The sequence below is a fragment of the Homo sapiens genome, chromosome 15, assembly GCF_000001405.40.
Source record: "Homo sapiens chromosome 15, GRCh38.p14 Primary Assembly".
NCBI classification, from domain to species: Eukaryota; Metazoa; Chordata; class Mammalia; order Primates; family Hominidae; genus Homo; species Homo sapiens.
Window position 1 is genome coordinate 52,283,669 of NC_000015.10, and position 23,035 is coordinate 52,306,703.

Here is a 23,035-nt window from a genome sequence, read left to right on the forward strand (position 1 = left end):
ACCCAATAGGATTTTTTTTTTTTTGAGATGGATTTTCATTCTTGTTGCCCAGGCTGTAGTGCAACAGCACGATCTTGGCTCACTGCAACCTCCACCTCCCGGGTTCAAGTGATTCTCCTGCCTCAGCCTCCCGAGTAGCTAGGATTACAGGCACCCGCCACCATGCCTGGCTAATTTTGTATTTTTAGTAGAGTCAGGGTCTCACCATGTTGGTCAGGCTGGTCTCAAACTCCTGACCTCAGGCGATCCACCTGCCTCAGCCTCCCAAAGTACTGGGATTACAGGCATGAGCCACCACGCCTGGCAGGATTTAAAAATTAGTGTCCTTATAAGAGACACCTGAGAGTTTGATGTATTTTTCTACAATATGCATCTATTACTTTTACAATCAGAACAATAAATATTAATCTTTAAAGGCAAATATCAAAATATAAGCCCCCCCCTCAAAGAATGGTACATAAATTCTGTGATATGGGACATAGTAACTTTATTTATAGTGGCCAAAAATTGGAAACAGACTAAATGCCCATTAATGAGAATTAAAAAAAAAAAACACCTGCAGAATACCCATACAATGAAATACAACTTACCCATAAAAGGAATGAACTACTGATGTAAGCAAAAGCATGGGTGAGTCACCAAAGCACGCTGAGTTAAAGAAGCCTTACACAAATGAGTACCTCCTATGTGAGTCCCTTCAAATCAAGTTCTGGAACAGCTAAAACTAAAGCATGCTGGGAAAAAATTCACAGCAGTAGTTGCCTCTGAGGGTGGGTGGGGCCAGGGAGTGACTCCGAAGGTGTATGAGGGGATCTTCTGGGAGTGATGGTAACATTCTGTATCTTGATGGGGCTCGGGTTACATAGGGGCTAAGCACTTTTCAAACCTCAGACAATGCAGACTTAAGATTTGTGCATTTCATTTTCTGTAAATTTTACACAAAAAATTAAACAAATATGGAACTCTAGTTAATATGCATACTAAAATATTTAGAAGGTGTATTGATATATGGCTTACTCAAAGATGCTTCAAAAAAGTGAGATGAATTGAAGGTCAGATAGAAGGACAGAAAGATGGATAGACATGGGATACAATGAATATGGTAGAATGTCCACACCAGAATCCAGGTGGTAAAACAGGTGTTCACTATAAAATTCTTTTTCTTTCTTTCTTTTTTTTTTTTTTTTAAGAGACAGGATCTAGTTTTGTGGCCCAGGCTGGAGTGCAGTGACGTGATCACAGCTCACTGGAGCCTCGAACTCCTGGGTTCAAGTGATCCTCCTATGTCAGCCTCCCAAAGTGCTAAGATTACAGGTATAAGCCATCATGCCTGACCTGTAAAGTTCTTTCAACATTGCATTATGCTTAACATGTTCATATAAAAATGCTGGAGGAAATAAAGAATAAGAATAAAACAGGCTGGGCACAGTGGCTCACACCTGTAATCCCAGCACTTTGGGAGACCCAGGTGGGTGGATCACCTGAGGTCAGGAGTTGGAGACCAGCTTGGCCAACATGGTGAAACCCTGTCTCTACTAAAAACACAAAAATTAGCTGGGCGTGGTGGTGCATGCCTGTAATCCCAACTACTCAGGAGGCTGAGGCAGGATAATCGCTTGAACCCAGGAGGTGGAGGTTGCAGTGAGCCGAGATCGCACCACTGCACTCCAGCCTGGGAGACAAGAGTGAAACTCTGTCTCAAATGAAAAAAAAACAAACAGGCTCTCGCTCTCCCTCTCCCTCCTCTCCCTCCTCTCCCTCTCCCTCTCCCTCTCCCTCCTCTCCCTCTCCCGTCTCCCTCCTCTCCCTCCTCTCCCTCCTCTCCGTCCTCTCCCTCTCTTTCCACGGTCTCCCTCTGATGCAGAGCTGAAGCTGGACTGTACTGCTGCCATCTCGGCTCACTGCAACCTCCCTGCCTGATTCTCCTGCCTCAGCCTGCCGAGTGGCGCGCCGCCACGCCTGACTGGTTTTCATATTATTTTGGTGGAGACGGAGTTTCGCTGTGTTGGCCGGGCTGGTCTCCAGCTCCGAACCACGAGTGATCCGCCAGCCTCGGCTTCCCGAGTTGCTGGGATTGCAGACGGAGTGTCGTTCACTCAGTGCTCAATGGTGCCCAGGCTGGAGTGCAGTGGCGTGATCTCGGCTCGCTACAACCTCCACCTCCCAGCCGCCTGCCTTGGCCTCCCAAAGTGCCGAGATTGCAGCCTCTGCCCGGCCGCCACCCCATCTGGGAAGTGAGGAGCATCTCTGTCTGGCCGCCATCCCATCTAGGAAGTGAGGAGCGCCTCTTCCCGGCCGCCATCCCATCTGGGAAGTAAGGAGCGTCTCTGCCCAGCCGCCCATCGTCTGAGATGTGGGGAGCGCCTCTGCCCTGCCGCCCCGTCTGGGATGTGAGGAGCGTCTCTGCCCGGCCGCCCCGTCTGAGAAGTGAGGAGCCCCTCCGCCCGGCAGCCGCACCCTCTGAGAAGTGAGGAGTCCCTCCGCCCGGCAGCCACCCCGTCTGGGAGGAGAAGAGTGTCTCCGCCCGGCAGCCGCCCCGTCCGGGAGGGAGGTGGGGGGTCAGCCCCCGCCAGGCCAGCCGCCTCGTCTGGGAGGGAGGTGGGGGTCAGCCCCCCGCCCGGCCAGCCGCCCCGTCCGGGAGGGAGGTGGGGGGGGTCAGCCCCCCGCCCGGCCAGCCGCCCCGTCCGGGAGGTGAGGGGCGCCTCTGCCCGGCCGCCCCTACTGGGAAGTGAGGAGCCCCTCTGCCCGGCCACCACCCCGTCTGGGAGGTGTGCCCAACAGCTCATTGAGAACGGGCCATGATGACAATGGCAGTTTTGTGGAATAGAAAGGGGGGAAAGGTGGGGAAAAGATTGAGAAATCGGATGGTTGCCGTGTCTGTGTAGAAAGAGGTAGACATGGGAGACTTTTCATTTTGTGCTGTACTAAGAAAAATTCTTCTTCCTTGGGATCCTGTTGATCTGTGACCTTGCCCCCAACCCTGTGCTCTCTGAAACATGTGCTGTGTCCACTCAGGGTTAAATGGATTAAGGGCGGTGCAAGATGTGCTTTGTTAAACAAATGCTTGAAGGCAGCATGCTCGTTGAGAGTCATCACCACTCCCTAATCTCAAGTACCCAGGGACACAAACACTGAGGAAGGCCGCAGGGTCCTCTGCCTAGGAAAACCAGAGACCTCTGTTCACTTGTTTATCTGCTGACCTTCCCTCCACTATTGTCCTGTGACCCTGCCAAATCCCCCTCTGCGAGAAACACCCAAGAATGATCAATAAAAAAAAAAAAGAAAAAAGAAAAAAAAAAAAGAAAAACTAACAAACAAACAAACAAACAAACAAAGTTCACAGTTACAAGTACTAGACTAGGACAATGCTGGATGAGGAACCTATCTATTAGTTAATATAAATCGCCTTACTTAATCAATAAAACAGAAAAGTCACTGGATGGATATCAATCATGACTACCCCTAAATCATTTGAGTTGCTTTAATCCTTAACAGCTAGCAAAAAGCAGAAGCTTGCCGAAACGTGACATGGATGTGTAAGTTTTGAGAGAACGAGAATGGAAGAATGACCTGGCAGGCAGTGACACACACTCTTGTGCAGATAGGACGATGGAGGCCTCATAAAGAAACACACAGACACGCCTGTCTCAGGCACACACACCCACACCCATCCTTGTTGCCACGGGCTACACAGCTCCTACCCCAGGTCTGCTATTGAAAATATTTATTACTAACGTCATGAAGCTTACTTCATTAAAATGGATTAGGAATGGGATCCTCATAAGAGACACCTGAGAGTTGGATGTATTTTCTACAATATGTACCTATTACTTTCATAATCAGAACAATGAATGTTAATCTTTAAAGGCAAATATCAAAATATATGCCCCCCAAAAGAATTGTACATGAATTACCAAATTTATCAAGAATTGGCCACTACAGAGTCTCAGAACTGATTATCTACTCCAAGTTGTTTGTCAAACTCCTTTTTAGAGCTGCAGAAAGCCTACTTCAAAAGGAAGTTCTGGCCAGGCGCGGTGGCTCACGTGTGTAATCCCAGCACTTTGGGAGGCCGAGGTGGGTGGATCACCTGAGATTGGGAGATTGAGAATAGCCTGACCAACATGGAGAAACCCCGTCTCTACTAAAAATACAAAAGTAGCTGGGCGTGGTGGCGCATGCCTCTAACCCCAGCTACTTGGGAGGCTGAGGCAGGAGAATCGCTTGAACCCGAGAGGCGGAGGTTTCTGTGAGGCAAGATCTTGCCATTGCACTGCAGCCTGGGTGACATGCGTGAAACTCCGTCTCAAAAAAAAAAAAAAATTAAGTTGTAACAGCTGGCTAAGCGAAGCTGGTGAAAGTGGAGGTGTTCTGATGGGAGCTGGAGCTGAGAGCCCTGGGGGCCTTCCAAGGAAGCCTGGGCTCTGAGAAGTAATGTGAAAGTCACTAGGCCAATCAATCCTTTTGTTTAACAGAGCCCCTAACTGAAGCCCAGAGAGAAATAACTCACCAAACAGCAGACAGAGTCTCAAAGGACCAGGACTCCAGCAGAGCTAGGGCCTGTGACTCCTAGTTTGAACTCCGTATTAGTTAAGCGAATCTGGCCCTGAAAGTAATCCTGAACTCTGAACTGCAACCATCTACTTGAGAGTCCATGTGCTCTCCTAACTATAATTTAGGATTGGTTTCAGCTAAAAGTGGTATTAAATGGCAGGCAGTATTAGGACATACGTAACCACTGACGGCTTCTCTTCTGAAGACCAGTGACTCCTCAGCCCAGTACCCCAGGCCGCCCACACCCTGCGATCCTGGTGCTTCTGCTGGCATTGAGTGCCCTGCAGCTGAAACCCAGCCTGGTAAGTAAACAACGGTGAGTTTACTCAGCTCCGGGTAAGTTCCACCCATTCATTCCTGTCCCCTCCTCCCTCACATTCCTCTACCCACAAAGCAATGCTTCAAACTGGAGGAAGAGTTAACTTTACAGCATTCATCCAAACAGATGCAGTCCGCAGTTCATGCAAACAATGTAACCAGCTGTCAACTGACCTCCAGAATATGGGGCCTTCCCATGAGGCAGGAGTCTGTGGACTGGGATGGAACAGCTCGCCAAGCCCTTCAGCGGAGCCAGGAAAGAGAGGGCCACCTCCCAACTTCCCTGAGTGCCCTCCCCATGCCAAGGCGCCAAGCTGAGGCAGAGGCTCGGGACCACTGAACCTTATGAGCTCAAGACCATGCCAGCCACCCCCCCAAGGCACACAGGTGAGATGAGAACAGCATCTTCTCACGCCGCCTGCTTTTCTGAGGGATCTTCTGGCATGAGCCACAGAAATGACTTGAAGACTTATATGGAAGATGGGACAAGATGGGACGACATGTGTTTCCCTCCTAGAACCGCTTTCTGGACTGGGAGTGTCCACACTCCAGGTCAGCCAGGCCAGATTGTCACACCATGCCCCTCTCTTCCTCCTCCTCTTCATTCGCTCCTCATGGGCCCCTCCCCTGGCTCCCCTGCCCCTCCCACTGCCCCCCATGTCCGTGTCTCCCAAGGTCCTTCCCAGCCTCTTCTCATGATAGGCTGTTTCTGGAGAGTTCCACCCAATTCCACAGCTTCTGCAACTGCCTGGCACCTGTGCATCTGAGACCTCCCACCCAGATCGTGCACTGGAGCTCTACACCACATTTCCAATTGCCTCCAAGATGTCAGCCCCTAAATGTCCTCATAGACTCATAAATTCCAAACTCCAGTGATGCCGACGCTCCTCCTTCCTAGCTCTCTTGCCCCTCATGTCAGAAGCCTGGGACAGTGCTGGGCACCCCTCTGTGTCTCCACCCCAACAGCCCAACAGTCACCAGGTGCTAGAAAAGACTGCCTTTTAAAAGCCCTCTCCTGTCCGCCCCTGCCTACCAGCCCCCTTGCCATGGCCATAAGTCAGCCCCCAACCCTACCCCCACCAATCCTCTCTTGACTGGTGCAGCAGCCCCCGGAGGCTTCCTCAGCCAGGCTGAGCACGAGGTTTCTTTGGGCAGACAGACTCTCTCATCCGTACTTGATTGGAATTCCTGTGGGTGGGGCCCGGCAAGAGAAAAGCTTTGAAAATCAACCCCCACATGGGTTTTGAGGAAGAGCCAGGCCTGGGCAACCAGCATTCTGGCCAATTTCCTGCTCAGGCCTCACCCTCTTTTCAATCCACCCTCTGCCTGTGGCCACCCAAAACCACTAGCACTTTCTGGAACATGGCAGGCCTTCTTTGGCTTTCTGCTGTGTACTTCTGTTCCTTCCACCCTAGCCCCACCCATCCTCTCCCCATCCAAGAGCAAACAGCTCTGAACAGTCTGGAGTAGCTGGAGACACTCCTCATCTTGGCACTCTCCTTGCCACTTGCCATCTAGCAGAGCTGGATGCTTCCCTTGAGCGCTCTCTGCTCCTCCCCCAGGTATCTAGGCTGCCTCCCATCTCCCCCACTGGCATTTGAACTTTAAGAGCCTGGTCTTTGTGCTTGGAATCCAATGCAAAGGCTTCCCATAACTAGCACTCCATAAACAACTTTTGAACAAAAATTCAAATTCCCAGTGGTTCAGTTGCACCAATTAAAGACTAAGTATTTCAGTCTTTTCATCCCTTTTTTTCTCTTTGAACTACCCATACATAATACAATGGATACATTTAATTTTCCAGAGTTGTTAATGGTATATAGAAGTCTAAAAACTATTTAGAATTAGCCAAATTAAAAAAAAAATCGTTACGCTGAACTTTGACCTCATTTTAGACAGGGGCCCTGGACTGCTAGTCAAGACACTTCTTTTGACCTTGCACATCTGAGTTTCAGCAGAACTTTGAAGATATTTGTGAGTTCCTCTTGCACAAGTGAAAGAAACAGATGGTGGAATGACTGTAGTGAACCTGTCACTACACAGTCATAACCTGAGTTCTAATTAATGAGCAAGAGCAACCTTTAGGAAAAAAAAAAAAAAAAGGTCTCCAGAGGCATGCCACAGAGCTCTACCGCCTCCCCTTTCATTCAACACTTTCACCAGTATCGTAGATGAAAAAACAAAACACATGTATCAAACAAGCAGATGAAATGATTGATTAGCTAAAGATGATCAAGATTCAAAAGGTTTTTACAAGCTACAGAAACGCTGGGCACTAAACAAAACAGAAAATTTTATAGGGATAAATGTAAAGTCTGTATTTAGGTAAAAAAAATCAACTGTATTATAATAGCATCAGTATTTGAGTAATCTTTATTAAGCATTATGTGTCAGGTGCTGTGCTAAGGATTTTACACGCCATTAATCCTCATAGTGACCTCCTCAGCTGGTAAGCATGATTCAGTCCATTATACTGGTGTGGAAACTCAGGTTAAGTAACTTGCCTGGTGTCACCCAGTTAGTAAGGGGCAGGACCAGGACTTGATTTGACCCACCAGGGGCAGAGCATGTACCAGCTCTGCTTAAAGCACTAACATAATGCCAGGATACACTGAGGGATGCTCACAAGAAGTTGCACCGTACTCATGGCTGAGCAGATCAAGGCTAGAGAATAGTGCCACTAAAATGGGCATCAAGGTGTGAAAATTCACCCAGAGGAAGGTGGCCTGGATGCTGAGGGTCTGGAATGATGCTGTCAGAGAAATGGTTGGTGGCACTGTCACTCTCCTCAAGCCGTCTGTCCTACCCACCCTTCCTGCTCAGCAGCTGTCAAGCTCTCTGGGCTTTCTTCCTTCTCTGTCAGTATCTCTGTGCCTTCAACTCCTGCCACTGTGGCCTCAGGCCCTCACTCCTTTCTGAGGTTAACCCATGCCTGGTGCCTTTCTTATGTCTTCAAACTGCAGTCCTCTGCTGGTTTCCTCCCTTTCACGGGTCATGTCAGACTTTCCCTTTCCCCTTCACAGTTCTACCCAAACAGAAACGACGCCAGGGACCAAAACTAGCGGCCAAACCTAACAACCCATCCCCAGCCTTCATCCTTGTTGACTTCTCTGCAGCTACTAGAAAGAAAGACCGTCCAATCTTTAGGCAGTGATATGTGTGGTCTTTTTTCTTTGTTTGCATATTTTATGTTTTTTTTTTTTTTTTTTTTTTTTTGAGACAGGGTCTCGCTCTGTCGCCCAGGCTGGAGTGCAGCGGCGCGATCTCGGCTCACTGCAAGCTTCGCCTCCCGGGTTCACGCCATTCTCCTGCCTCAGCCTCCTGAGTAGCTGGGACTACAGGCGCCTGCCACCACGCCTGGCTAATTTTTTTGTATTTTTAGTAGAGACGGGGTTTCACCGTGTTAGCCAGGATGGTCTCGACCTCCTGACCTCGTGATCCGCCCGCCTCGGCCTCCCAAAGTGCTGGGATTACAGGCGTGAGCCACCGCACCCGGCCGCATATTTTATATTTATCTTCATACAGTATATAAACTGTTGTGCCCCATTTTTCACATAACCATGTTTTCATGTTATGAACTCTTCAGAAATAGTACTTTTAATGGCTTCATGCTGTTTTACCATGTGAATCTTCCATAATTTACTTAACTTTACCCCTCTTGCTGGACACTGGGATTGGTTCCAATTTAGTTATTATAAGGAAAAATACAAATAAGCAGGTGTCAGGAGAGGTAGGTAGAAAGTGGATGAACTTCTCACAAGCCCACTGTGTGCGGGGAAAAGGTCAGATCCCTTGAAGAAGAGGAAGATAATAAAGGCGGTTGAACCAAGGTGGTGGTAGTGAGAGACACTAAGAACATAGGTTTTCAACTCCGGCTCCATCACTTGTATGTTACCTTAGCAACTTACCTGACCTGAGCCATTTCTAAAAGTGTGAGATCATCTAACACACAGAGTTGTTTATCCAGATTAAATGAGAGGCGGCACATGAAACTCTGAGGATGGCATCTAGCACATAGAGATAAAAATAACATCATCCATATCATCGTCTCCATGGTCCTAGCTATTTCTGTAAGCAAAAACGTTCAGTCATGCACACAGGTGCACATCAAACATTTATGAAGCTCCCACTGTCCCCTGCTCACTGAAAGCTCTTGGTCAATAGTGGAGACACAGAGTTCACGAGCTGTTACCAGGCAATATGGAAGGCACCGTGTGGAGGGGCTAGCTGCAGAGGCTTTCTCAGAAGAGGTCCTGCTCAAATTGAAGGTGGAAGGTGCAGGTGCCATGAGCAAAGGTGACAGACAGAGGCTCAGACAGGTGGAGTTCGTGTGCCAAGGCACGCAGTGGCAACGTGCAAGCAAGGCATTGAGGGAATGGCAAGGAGTCTGGCAGAGCATGAGCCAGGTAAGAGCAGGAAGGCAGGGAGAGAGGCAGGACCTCGTGGCTGGTCAGTGAGTCTGAAAGCAATGGGAGCCTCTAGAGGTGGTAGAGCAGAGAATGCCAGACCGGCTCTTCTTAAGAGAGATTTCAAATAGGGGAACTGCTGCTCTGAACATTTCTAAGGCATGGCACCTGTAGCTTTTCAAAAGAGATGGATGATTTTACACCTCACCTGGCAGCGATTGCTCCCCTCACCAAGACTTCTCCTGGAGTTCCCTCTTCCCTGTTCCCACAGGGTGGCTTCCAGCTCCCCTGTTAGCTCCTCCTCTGGATGGCTCCATCTCAGCCCTTCTGCTTCCTCTCACTCCTTGCACAGATGCATTCCCCGCTGGCCTGTCCCTCACCCTCTTCTCTGTCTGCCTTCTCCCACCTTGGTGAGACCCTCAGTGTCTTGTTGGCTTCAGTGACCACCTCTGGGCAGAAGACCCTCGGCAGGGCCCATCCCCTCCCTCTGACACCTCCCACCCTGCAAGGCACCTTCCCTTGGAAGCCCCCTCACCCCTTCAACCCCTGCAAATACAGAACTTGCCTGATGACTTTCTTAAGAAATATTTCCTCCTCATGCCACATCCTTAATTCACTCAAGGGCACCACCCTGCTGTCTCTCATACAGACTCTAACCTCAAATGTCATCCTTGGCTGGTCCCTTCAACCCCCACCCCACTCCCCAGTCCAGCCTCTCAGCCTCACCTGCCTCCACCCTCCATGGCCAACACTGCAGCTCTAATTCTTTTCCAACAGCTGGAATGACCTGAGAATTCAGCTACGTGACCCCGGCCTCTCTCCTCCACAGCCCAAGGGCGCTGCTGGCATACATAACAAATCTAACAGTCCTAACACACCACCCTTGATTCTGCCAGCCCCCACTCAAAACCCACACTGGGGAATAAAGCCCTGACCTCGCTCTCTGGCTGCCATGGCCCTCCCCTTCACACCTCCAGAACAGACAAAATGGGGGCTAACTGCCCACCAGGAAGGGAGGTGGCAGCCTAGGAACACAGGTGTCTACGTGGACACAAGGTCAGTGGGAATGGCCATCAGGCTGCGTCAGTCTCTGGGATTCTCAGATTCTCATTCCCTCCAAGCTTGTACCTTTAAACTCCTTCCTATCAGTTTTCTTACATTGTGCCTGGTACTTACTAGACATTTAATAAATATCTGAGGTTTGAGGCACCTAAAAATAGGGGTGCTTGCACCTGTGTGTTTCTGCTTCTGGAAATACTGTCACCTCAAATAGGTTCAGCAGCAGCATTTTTCTCTGTCCTCCAAAGTATCGTCGAAGACTAGTCCAAGACTTTTCTTTCACTTCCAGTAAACTGAAGGCTGAAGAAGCGCTGTTGGCTGTCTGAGGGCTCACAGTCTCACTGGTGAAAATATTCTAGAACAAAACTAGGGCAATTCAAACACTGTCCATTTAGAACTCCAGTTAATGGAGATGCAATAGAGGAGAAACTACAGTTCGGTTGCTTTGTGTCCGGACTGTTACTAAGTAATCAAAGTAGAAGAAAAACGTTTGCTTAAACCATTGAAACATGATTTTTTAAATAACTATCTTTTCTATCTACAGCAAAAGCATCTTTTAAAGTAGAAAGCTAGAGCATGTGTCCGGGGAAATGGATGGATTCTAGTTCCACTCGTCTGAATACTGAGGTCTCTAGATTTCCCCAACTGGTGTATAGGAGGATCAGGCTTTATGGCTATTCAAATGGATTTTTTTTTTCAAAAGTGCTAACACTGTCACACTCTTTATCCAAATAATTACCCAAGCCCATCTCAGAGGGTTTGGGACATATGTGGGAACGCTGCCCTTCCGAGGTAAGAGGTGGAGCCCCAGCCAGCAGAAAGGAAGCTTCTGAGGAATGCTCTAGTGTTTCCCAGAGTCAGGGTATATGAAAGGCGCTTTAGAAACTGTGGTGTTTGTACTGTTGCTAACAGTACAGATGTTAGGCAAAGAGCCTACGACTGCACCTCGTGGCCCCTGGGCTCCCCAAGCGCTTGGTGCCACTGCAGTGCCCTCAAGCCTGTGACCCAGGCTGCTTCAGCTTCTGATGAGCCTACATGCACGTTCACGCACTTTGAAGACACAGAATTCTAGAAAGCAGCCCGAACACTGCGGCCATAAGCTTCTATGCCAGCTCGTTCAAGGGGGTCCCAGGAGGGGCCAGGAGACTGGCCGGCGTCTCAGCTTCCTACGTCCGCATGGGCAACTCTGATTCCACCCGTGGTGTGGTAGGAAGGGACCGAGGCGCTCCAGTCCCGGGAGATGGGGACGCACGCGCGACCCCTGGGCACTGGGGATTCTAGGCCCCGAGGCCGGAGCGGCGGAGGGGGCGGCCCCTCCCACAGGGTCTTCCCACCCACAGGGCACCCAGGCGCAGCGGAGCCAGGAGGGGGCTTACCCGCGGGCAGGGACGGAGCACGCCGGGGCCCTGGAGGGGCGACGCTCGCTCGTGTCCCCGGTCCCCGTGGCCCCTCCGCGGCGCCTCCGCGGCCCCCAGCGCGCGCCCGCCCGCCCTGCCGTGTCAGGTGCGCAGGTGTGGCAGGTGTGGCCCGGGCGCCAGGTCGAGTCAGCGTTAGCAGGGCCGGCTCCCCCACAGCGCTCCCAGGAGCCCAGCGGACCCTCCTACCTGCGTGTACAGCTCGGCCACCGCCATGGGCAGGAGGGGCCGGGGCCAGGCCGGGGCTGCCGAACGTGCGAGGCTCGGGGGCTGGGCCTGCGCCGCAGAGGCCGGGCGCAGGAGAGACCGCCGCGGAAATCACCGCCGGGCCATCTTGCCCAAAGTTTTCCAACGGCCTCCTGTTCCCGTTCCCGAGTTGGCGGCGAGGGGAGGGGGCAGCGGCGGGATTGGTCCCTCCAAGCTTGGCCCGGCTAGTCGGCGCTGCCATTGGCCGGGGCCGGGCGGCTGCACCTGGCGGGAGCGCGGGTGGAGAAGGTTGGGGCCCGGGGCGCGCTGCCAGGCAGGAACAGATGCATCCGGAGGCTGCCCGGCCCGAGTGTTAGCTCCTCAAAGAGCAGAGGATACGACCATTTAAATGGAAGACCCAAGGGAATCAACGTACTGAACACAAAGAAATGTGTTAAGAGTCCAGCAAGGTCATCGTATTCAAAATCAAATACAAAAATAAGTAATGGTCCTTTATATGAGCATTGTCTATGCAATACAAGATATTTACAATATTAGTGAAAATATAAAGTATCCAGAGATTACACTCGCAAAAATGCCCTTGGCCTTTGTGGAGAAAATGTTTAAAATTCTCTTAAAGAGCTTAAAAGAAGGCCCAGGTAAACGGGAGACATGCCATTTTCCTGGCTGGGAATATTTAATATGGTCAAGGTGTCACTTCTACCCAAATCAATATATATGCCTAATATATTGGCGTCAGAATCCTACAGAACTTTTGGAGAATTGTACAATGATTCTATATTTCATATAGAATAAAAGCCCTGTATAACTAAGACAATTCTCAAAGAGGAGAGATTTGTCCTGCCATATATTTAGGGACATAACAAAGCAGTAGTCATTAAAACAGTGTGACACTTGCGTGAGAACGGATACGTGAGTAATGGAACATGCTGGAGCCCCCCAGCAGGGCCCTACATTATACGGTAGCCTTAAGGACCAGATAGGGAAATAAAATAATATTTATTAGATGGGCCCGTTATATGGAAAAACAATAAAAGCAGATCCGTGGCAAACACTGCATCCAAAAATAAGCTCCAGATGGATTCACGATTAAAACTTAAAACCGGGAAATTATTAGGAATAAAAGAGGGATAATATCTTTAAAATGTTGGGTTATAGTAGTTTCCATATAGAAGAATTGTTAATCGGTTAAAGAAAAGAAATCCAATTTTTAAAACTGACAAAAATTAATAGGCAATTCACAGATGGGGACACTTAAATGGCTTGTTAGCATACAAGGAGATGTCAACTTTAGCAGTAATCAGATAAATACAAATGAAAACAACAATGAGATATTGCTTTTTACCCATCATATTGGCAAAAACATTTAGGTTAGACAATCTCAGATACTGCCTAGGATGTGAGAAAATAAAAACTTGGCCGGGCGCGGTGGCTCACGCCTGTAATCCCAGCACTTTGGGAGGCCGAGGCGGGCGGATCACGAGGTCAGGAGATCGAGACCATCCTGGCTAACACGGTGAAACCCCGTCTCTACTAAAAATACAAAAAATTAGCCGGGCGAGGTGGCGGGCGCCTGTAGTCCCAGCTACTCGGGAGGCTGAGGCAGGAGAATGGCGTGAACCCCAGGGGGCGGAGCCTGCAGTGAGCCGAGATTGCGCCACTGCACTCCAGCCTGGGCGACAGAGCGAGACTCCGTCTCAAAAAAAAAAAAAAAATAAATAAAAAAAATAAAAACTTTTTTTGCTTACATAACTGGTGGGAATATACTGCCATCCTGGAGAGCAATTTGAGAATAGTTATGAAAATAAATGTAGGCAGAAAAATTCTCACAGTCACCCAAAGAGACAGTTAAGTAGATGTTCATCACAACATAGTTATTTATCAAAGAGTTGGAAGCATCTAAATATCAATAGGGGAATAAATAAAATAGTATATACATGGCAGACAGCAGAGAAAAATAAAAAAAGAAATAGTATATACATGTAAAACTCTACAGCTGTTAGTAGGAATAGACATGATCTACTTGACTCAGAAATAAAAAACAATGTTGAATAGATGTCTAGCCCAAGTCTTTAATATTTAAAAACTCACAAAAACTGCAATACTGAATATTGTTCATGGGTACAAGTATGTGTGAATAGAGGTAAGGAGGATAAATTACAAAGTCATTCATTAAATATGCAAGAGTGGATACCTATGAGGGAGAGAAATGGAATCGGAGATTTCAAAAAGGGGATCAAAAAATATAAAGAGAGGCCTGGCATGGATCAATAATGATAAATGCCACAAAGAGAGGATCATGGTAAATTTAATTTTGCATTTATTTATATACAAAATTATTTATATTATTGCCCAAATAATTCTATTTTGTATAAAGAAAAAGAAAATCTATAAGGTGAGTAGTGACAGCTGCCTGATTGCTCAGAGTTAAAAAGAGAATCTAGCTGCCTTTTTTATTTAAAGAAAATTTTTATTGAAGAATAAAATTATATACAGAAAAGTGTGCAAATAATAAGTGTACAGCTCAATATATTCTTATTCATGGAACACATCAACACACCAAAGTAACCACCGCCCAGATCCAGACGTAGAACATTACCGATATCCCAAAACTTTCTCTGTTTCTTCAAATCATTTTCTCTCAAAGATAACCACTGTTCTGATTTGTATCACCATAGATGCGTTTTACCTGTTTTGGATGTTTTTAATAAATGGAATCACATGTGTAACTCTTGCATTTGGCTTTTTACATGGTATTTATTCATCTTGTTGCATGTAGCTGCGGTTTGAGGTCTTTCATTCCTGTCTAGTAGTATTCCATTGTATAAATATTCTACAATTTATTCATTCTCCTATTGATAAATATTTCGGTTGCTTCAGTTTACACCCACTATGAATAATGCTGCTATGAACATTTTATATGTGTCTTTTGATGCACAAATATATGTATTTTTGTTGGGCACATAAACAGAGCAGAATTGCTGGATCACAGGTATGTAATGCTCAACTTTAACGGATAATGCTAAAGAGATTTGTAAAAAATTGTTATATCAATGTATACTTCTACCAGCAGTGTGTGAGACTTTTAGTTGCTTAATATCCTCACCACTTGATGTGGTCAGTTTAAAAAATAGCCTTTCTGATGAGTGTGTTATGATGTCTCACTGTGGGTCCAAGTTGCATTTATTTCTATGATGACTATTGACCACTTTGGTATTCTCTTTTGTGAAATGTCTGTTCAAGTCCACTTGAACTGCTATTTAAACAGATTTTCAACCAATTCCTGTGTTTTCAGCTGCATGCCACTTTCAGTGTTACCTGCTGCCTCTGAACCTAATTCCTGAGCTTTTCGGAATTATGTAGTGCAAACTGGATTGCTTCTGGGCTTCTGCCTGTCCCGGGTTAGGTTTCAGTTTTCTTTGCTTGTGAAAATAAAAGACATTTATCCATCTGTTTTTCATCTTCCAAGCTGTTGCTGTCATTCCTCATTCATTCTGTTTTCCTTTGTGAGTTTATTGTTACTTACCGGAGTTTCAGGAGGAAGGTTGAGTAAATACAGGTATTGAATCTACCATCTTTAAACATTTTGATCACAAACCCTTTACCGATATATGGTTTGCAAATATTTTCTCCCACTATATGGATTGTCTTTTCATTTTCTTCATGGTGTCTTAGGCAGCACAAAAACTTTAAATTTGGGGGAAGTCCAATTTATCATTTTTTAATTTTGTGGATCATGCTTTTGGTGTTGTTATCTAATAAATTTTTGCCTAGCTTAAGCTCATAAAGATTCTCTTCTAGATGTGTTATAGTTAGAACTCTGACATTTAGGATATGGAATTTTTTTTTTTTTTTTTTTTGAGACAGAGTTTAGCTCTTGTTGCCCAGGCTGGAGTGCAATGGCGTGATCTCGCCTCGGCCTCCCAAAGTGCTGGGATTACAGGCGTGAGCCACCACACCTGACACCTGGCCATTTTATTTATTTCTTTTTCTTTTTTTTTTTTTTTTTTTTTTTTTTTAGAGATGGAGTCTTGCTATGTTGCTGTGGAGGAAAAGTTAAATATCAAATTGAACATGGACACAAACAATGGTCACCAAGTCCCAGAATAGGTTGTGTGAGCCCCTTAAGGCATTCATCCAGCACTTTTTTGGAGAAATCCCCATTTCAATCTATTCCTATACGTTAGTTATTGAAAAACAACAATTGCAAAAAAAAAAGTTGACTTTTTGGGTTCCTTGAGCCCAGTCGCAAAGGGCCTCCTGATTGGGCCTCATGCCAAACAACTTGTTACAAAAAGAGCTTGGGTCCCAGACTGCACTGAAGCTTCATGAGACCTCTCCTCATCTACACCAGTGAGTGGCCGACTCTGGAGCCCAGGCTGTTGCTTACGGGTCTGGTGGTGAATTCTCCATAGTCTGGTGAGTGTAAATATATATATATATCTTATCCTTTCTCCCCTTCCCATTGCAATTTGCTTATTATATCAATTTGCTTATTATATCATCTGCTTATTATTATCTGCATTGCCATTTACATGGGATAAAGTTGTTTACCCTTAAAAGTATTGTGTGTGCCTTCTCCCCTCGCAGGTCTCCCACACAGAACAGTTGCCCAGGTTGGTCTTGAACCCCTGGACTCTAGTGATCTTCCTTCCTCAGCTTCTCAAGTAGCTGGGATTACAGGCATGCACCACTGTGCCTGTTTTTGTTGTTGTTGTTGTTTGTTTTTGTTTTTCTTAAATCCAGTCTGATAATCTCTGCCTTTTTATTGGGGTGTGTAATCCATTCACATTTCTTGTAGTCTTTGATATGGTTGGATTTATGTCTGCCATTTGTTGTTTTCTATATGGCACATGTATTTTTCTCCCTCTGTTTCCCCTTTCTTGAATTTTTTGGTGATAGTTTTTATTAAGTGCATAATTTAAATTTCCCCCCTAAAAAGAACTCTATTTCTTGAGTTAACTTTTCAGTGATTCTTTAGGGATTAAGTAACATTCCATTATATTAATCAATTAATGAATATTTGGGTTGTTCCCACCTTTTGGCTATTAGGAGTAATGTTGCTATAAACATTTATGTACAAGTTTTTGTATGAACATATATGTCTTCATTTCTCTTGGGTATTTCCAGGAGTGGAATTGCTGGGTCATAGGGTAACTCTGTTCTTTAACTGTTGGGGGAACTACTAGATTGTTTTCCAGAGTGGCTGCACCATTTTACATTTCTACCAGCAGTGCCTGAGAGTTCTGATTTCTCCACATCCTTGCCAATTCATGTTATTACCTGACTTTTTGGTTCTAGGCATTTTGGTGGGTGTGAAGTAGTATCTCACTGTGGCTTTCATATGCATTTCCCTCATGCCAGGCATCTGCATCTTTTCATGTGCTTTTGTGTATCTTCTTTGGAGAAATGTCTATTTAGATCCTTTGTTCATTTTAAAATTGTCTTTTTATTATTAAGTAATAAGAGTTCTTTATATATTCTAGATACGACTCCATTATCAGATATATGATTTGCAAATATTTCTACCTATTATACAGGTTGCCTTTTCATTTTCTCGACAGTGTTCACTGAAGCACAAAAGTTTTCAATTGTGATGAAGTTCGGTTTATTTTTTCTTTTGTTATTTGTGCTTTTGGTGTCATATCTAAGAATCCCTTTGTCAATCGAAAGTCAAGAAGATTTATCCTTTTGTTTTCTTCTAAGTTTTATAGTTTTAGCTCTTACATTTAGGCCTGTGACCCATTTTGAGTTTTTGTTTGTTTTGTTTGTTTGAGACAAGGTCTCTCTCTGTTACCCAGGCTGGAGCACAGTGGTATGATCATAGCTCACTGCAGCCTCAAATTCCTGGGCTCAAGTGATTCTTCTCTTTGGCCTCTGTAGTATCTAGAACTTCAGGTGCATGCCACCATGCCTAGATAAATTTTTTTTGTAGAAATGGGGTCACTACATTGCCAAGGCTAGTTTTAAACTCCTGGCCTCAAGTGATCCTTGTACCTTGGCCTCCCAAAACACTAGGATTATAGATGTGAGCCACTGCATCCAGCAGAGTTTTGTTTGTTTTTTGTATATGGTATGAGATAAAGGCCTAACTTTATTATTTTGCATTAGCTATTCAGTTGTGTCAACATTATTTGTTGAAAAGACTATTCTTTCCCCATCGAATGGTTATGGCACTCTTGTTGAAATCAATTGATCATAAACACATAGGTTTATTTCCCTACTCTAAATTATATTCCACTGATGTCTATGTCTATCTTTACTTTCAGTGCCAGATGGTCTAGTTTGCTGTTGCTTTGTAGTAAGCCTTGAAATTAGAGTCATCCAACTTTGCTATTGTTTTTCAAGAGTGTTCTGGCTATTTGGTGTCCCTTGCAATTCCACCTGAATTTTAGAATCACCTTGTAGACAACATATAGTTGGGTCTTGTGTTTTGATCCACTCTGACAATCTGTCTTTTAATTTGTGTACTTAGACCATGGACATTTACACAGACTACTGATAGATTTGGATTAATATCTACCATATTTGTTACTGTTCTATTTGTTGCCCTTGGTCTTGTTTCTATTTTTTGTCTTCCACTCTTTTTTCTGCCATTTGTGGTTTTAATTGAGCATTTAATGTGATTCAGTTTTTTCTCTTTTCTTAGCATATTAATTACACTTCTATTTTTACTTTTTATAGTGGTTGCCCTGGAGTTTGCAATACACATTGATAACGAATCCATGCCCATCTTCACAGAACATGATATCACTTTACAGTGTATAAGGTACAGTACAAGTACCTTATAATATCAAAAGGTTCCTATTCCTCCCTCCTGTTCTTTGTATTGTTGTTGTCATTCATCAAATGTATTCTTTAATCATAGTTTCCTTTAGTTCTTTGAATATATTTATAATGGCTGATCTGAAATCTTTGTTAATCTAACACCTTGTTATTCTTATAAGCAGTTTCTGTTGCCTGATTTTTTTTTCTGCTTATAAGTCATACTTTCCTGTTTCTTTGCATGTCTTGTAATTTTTTGGTTATAATCAAGATATTTCTGATAATGTAGTAGCTCTGCATACTGGTCCTTGTTTTTGTAAATAAACTGGGCTTATTTATGTTTTAGTGACCAGCTGGCTTATTTCAATAAGATCTATTTGGCCCTCCTCCACTACTCCATAGTGGGAAGCCTCTGATGCTGCTTCTCAGGCAGTGTAGCCTGCTAAACCTGGGATGACAGTGGTTTTGGCTAGCTTCACTTTGACTGTGTTAACATTCAGCTGTTAAACTCCACCAATTACGATTTTCAACAATGCTATAAGGAACACATTGTTTCACAGACAGTATCTGATCAATTTTGGGCTCCTTTGAAAGGATAGTTCTTGAGGTCAATGTTTGAGACTTGTTCTGATCCTGCAAGGACTCCTCCTGGCTGTCTCTTCTCCCAGTTCTCTCCAGGAAAGTTATAGCCTAAAGTTCAGCCGATAACTCTAATGAATCTACCAATCCCCTCCCAATCCCCAGTCACTGCAACCTTCACTGTTTTTGAAACGCCCTTAGGCTTGAACTTCTCCACACTCTTTTGCAAATGAAGTCAGTTCCTTTAGGAAGTAATTTGGAGCTTTCTGTTTTACAGCCTGCTTCTGCTCCTGGTGAAAATCTCTGAGCCATTGTTCTGGAGCTGGGGATGAGGACAATGGCTTGCATCTCTTTGAGTGATGGGAGCCAAATGCTCGGTGGATGGGGGATAGTGGCCTTAGGTCTTTTTGGTTGGCCTTTCCCAGGATGAGAGCACCACCTTAAAAGCCTGAACAAGATGCACTGGGGTCCCAGTATTTTCAGCAGTGATGTCCCCAAGGTAGAGCCTGTGAGCCATGAGTAGGGGCTGGGTAGAAGGGACCCCCCCCACCTGTTGACTGCATTTATTTGAAACTTAGCTTAAGCAAGAGGTGGCTGGGAGCAGGATGAGAAGTGCTGACATCCTGCCCCTCCCAGGAAGACAGCCCTCCAACTGTGAGCTGGCAGAGAGGAAGCCCTGAGTTCTTGGCTATACCAGTCTAGAGTGGAGTTTTTGTCTCATTGACCTGGAAGATGGAAGGAGGGAGGAATCTTGGTTCAGATACAACAAGCTCATTCTCTTTATCAAGCTTTAGTATGTTTTCTTGAATAAGCACTTCTTCATTTGGTGTATGCCCTTAGGACCATTTCTAGAGACTTTAAAGAATTGGGGGTTTGGTTTGTTTTTAAAATAATTCTCACTGGTTTCACTGGTTTCCCTTGGGAGTTGTCTGCAAAGCTCCTCATGCTATCATGTCAGAAGTGGAATTCCTAAAAGCTACTTTTGAAATGTGAGAAATATTTCTCCTGTTGTATTTAATGTCAACTCAAGAATGGTTTTCCATGGGCTTTTGGCCTGTCTTTCTTTGCCCATCTCACTTCTGTTGACCAACCCCATTCCTACCTGTATTTTCCTCCCTCCCTTCTGTTTTCATGAGGTTGTTTTTAACAGCTTCTTACTTCCCTCCAAAAGGAGCCCCATTCTTTTGCACAGTAATCACCATCCTAGCTAGGGTCATCCTAGACACAGGCCATTCAGCCCGGAGACCTATTTTTCGCAGACCATGGGTGTACATGTGAAAAGAAACCATTTGTCTTCCTAGATTATAACCTGAAGATTTGATACAACCCAGATCTTCTCAGTAGAAATTTTTTTTGGTCACAAGTAGCATTGACCAAACTCTCTTCAAATTCATTTAGCTTTCTTGATAATATAGACTCTTAGGAAATGAGCTTCAGATATACATGGTTGACAACATAAACTAGTATTTTCTTTCTTTTCCAGTAACTGCTGAAGTTTCAAAATGTCTGTTTACCATATTTAAGTTTTGGTAAGTAGTTCATGTTTTCCTTATCTGTGCCAAGCATAATTTTTTTTTCTTTTATTTTGAGATGGAGTCTCACTCTGTTGCCCAGGCTGGAGTGCAGTGGCGCAATCTCGGCTCACTGCAAGCTCCGCCTCCCAGGTTCATGCCATTCTCCTGCCTCAGCCTCCTGAGTAGCTGGGACTACAGGCGCCCGCCACCACGCCCGGCTAATTTTTTGTATTATTTAGTAGAGACGGGGTTTCACCATGTTAGCCAGGATGGTTTTGATCTCCTGACCTCATGATCTGCCCGCCTCGGCCTCCCAAAGTGCTGGGATTACAGGTGTGAACCACTGCACCTGGCCCAACCAAGCATAATTTTTTAGCACTTGCCCACATTCTTACCTTCTTGGCATTCATTTCTCTAGGCCCAATTGTCTCAGGACTTTCAAACCATTCTTATGAGTAGTATCCTTTTCCTTCAGTTATCTCTTATTCTCTTCTGAACCTCTTATATTCCCTTGTGTTTTGTTTGAAACCCAATGACCAGAACTGCCCATAGCTGGCCAACATGGTGCTAACGAGGTCTGTATGGCAGGTTTTATTTCTCTCCTTTTGAATAATGTCCATCATATTTTGGTTTCAGTAGCAAGGTGATCAATGTGAACAAATCACATGTCTTCCCAGGTCCCTTTCCGGGGTGGTAAATGTGATTTCAAAATTCTTGTTGTGTAACACTTTGCTTACTTCTTTGTGCACTTATGCTGACTGCTAAGACCCAGGAAACCCACCCAGCAGCTCCACACTTTCACATGGATGGCACACTCCCAGTGCTGCACACAATTCGTGTCCCTTTCTTTCCCATTCAGGAGAATGCATTACTGTAGACATGCATTGCTTTCATTTCCTCTGTGAACTATACTCTGTCTTTCCTCTGGTGAACTCCCACTACCACCTAATCAATCCTATGTTTTCTGTGAATTACCCAATTTTTAGTTTCAGTGGGGGGTATGTCAGGCTAGGACAGTCAGAGCACTCATCTGGACACAGTGATTATTCTGAGGATGGAAGTAGGACTTAAGCCACTGAGACTCCATCCTGAAATGCCTTACTGAGAATTACTGAAGGCAGAGCCATAGAATGAAGCCAAACACTACTGAGGGCCATCTTTGTCACTTGAGGGAGAACATGACTAAGAATGAAGCCAAAAGTAAGGAAAGAAAAGGAGATCCCTGATGTCAATGTTTGGGCACCTGGATATATCTCTGAACTTTAATTGTGTTAGGTAATACATTTCCTTCTTGGTTGGGTCAGTTTGAGTTTGATTTTTGTCATATGCCCCAGAAAGAATCCTAATGATCATACCAAAATGCAACTGGATGAGCGTGATTTTATTATTGGGAAATAATCTTGCCTTGGTTCCAATTAATTTAGAAAAAGAAACTGTTGGCTGAGCACGGTGGCTCACACCTGTAATCCCAGCACTTTGGGGGGCCAAGGCGGGCGGATCACGAGGTCAAGAGATCGGGACCATCCTGGCCAATATGGTGAAACCCCGTCTCTATTAAAAATACAAAAATTAGCTGGGCGTGGTGGCGGGTGCCTGTAGCAGCTACTCGGGAGGCTGTGGCAGAATCACTTGAACCCAGGAGGCGGAGGTTGCAGTGAGCTGAGATCACGCCACTCCACTCCAGCCTGGCGACAGAGCGAGACTTTGTCTCAAAAATAAAAAAGAAAAAAAGAAACTGTTTGCAAATTTTGACATTTTATTACTTGTAACATATTGGTGTTCTGCTGTAGTTCATGGGGCCAGTGATTGAATTTAATTTGGAAGATGCTATATTTCAAGGGCCTGTTGCGGTGCCCAGAAAAGTACTTAATAAATGAGTTGAATGAATGTGTCATGGAAGTAGGAAGTGTATAATCTACATGAAAACCATGTACAGTCATAGTCATGCATTACTAACAAAGGGGATATGTCCTGAGAAATGCATCATCAGGCAATTTCATCATTGTGCAAATATCAGAGTGTTCTTACACAAACCTAGATGGTATAGCCTACTATACACCCTGGCTATATGGAATAGCTTATTGCTCCCAGGCTATAAACCTGTATAGCACATTACTGTACTGCAAATTGCAGGCAATGGTAAGTACCTGTTTCTCTAAACATAGAGAAGGTAACAGTAAAAATACAGTATTATAAACTTATGGGACCACTGTCATAT

The 23,035-nt window shown here is 45.3% G+C and overlaps 1 protein-coding gene and 1 long non-coding RNA gene across 5 annotated transcripts in view, besides 4 other annotated features; one reads left to right on the plus strand and one right to left on the minus strand.

Annotated features, from left to right (window-relative positions):
* Positions 1-12,136, minus strand: part of MYO5C (myosin VC) — a 103,483-nt gene extending 91,347 nt beyond the window's left edge. For all 4 annotated transcript variants that reach the window (XM_047432845.1, XM_017022408.3, XM_011521781.4 and 1 more), the window contains exon 1: positions 11,942-12,136. In XM_047432845.1, coding sequence (XP_047288801.1) covers positions 11,942-11,968 — 27 coding nt within the window. In that variant the 5' untranslated portion in view covers positions 11,969-12,136. The remainder of the gene's footprint in view (positions 1-11,941) is intronic.
* Positions 2,437-3,193: an enhancer, noted in NCBI's record as "NANOG-H3K27ac hESC enhancer chr15:52578302-52579058 (GRCh37/hg19 assembly coordinates)". NCBI's record gives its function as "activates a minimal SCP1, AML or CMV promoter by ChIP-STARR-seq in naive H9 embryonic stem cells {active_cell/tissue: H9 hESC(naive)}" and the evidence as "EXISTENCE:reporter gene assay evidence [ECO:0000049][PMID:30033119]".
* Positions 9,266-9,315: an enhancer, noted in NCBI's record as "active region_9425". NCBI's record gives its function as "activates an Ori minimal core promoter by ATAC-STARR-seq in GM12878 lymphoblastoid cells {active_cell/tissue: GM12878}" and the evidence as "EXISTENCE:reporter gene assay evidence [ECO:0000049][PMID:35858748]".
* Positions 10,189-10,358: an enhancer, noted in NCBI's record as "experimental_39766 CRE fragment used in MPRA reporter constructs". NCBI's record gives its function as "activates a minimal promoter by MPRAs in K562 erythroleukemia cells, with activity observed for both the introgressed and non-introgressed 15:52586139 variant alleles {active_cell/tissue: K562}" and the evidence as "EXISTENCE:reporter gene assay evidence [ECO:0000049][PMID:34662402]".
* Positions 11,216-20,832, plus strand: LOC105370819 (uncharacterized). The gene is made up of 4 exons (XR_932250.3): positions 11,216-11,543; positions 16,206-16,378; positions 18,644-18,728; positions 20,787-20,832. It is a non-coding gene; the product is annotated as an uncharacterized LOC105370819 (long non-coding RNA).
* Positions 11,800-11,959: a silencer, noted in NCBI's record as "silent region_6446". NCBI's record gives its function as "represses an Ori minimal core promoter by ATAC-STARR-seq in GM12878 lymphoblastoid cells {active_cell/tissue: GM12878}" and the evidence as "EXISTENCE:reporter gene assay evidence [ECO:0000049][PMID:35858748]".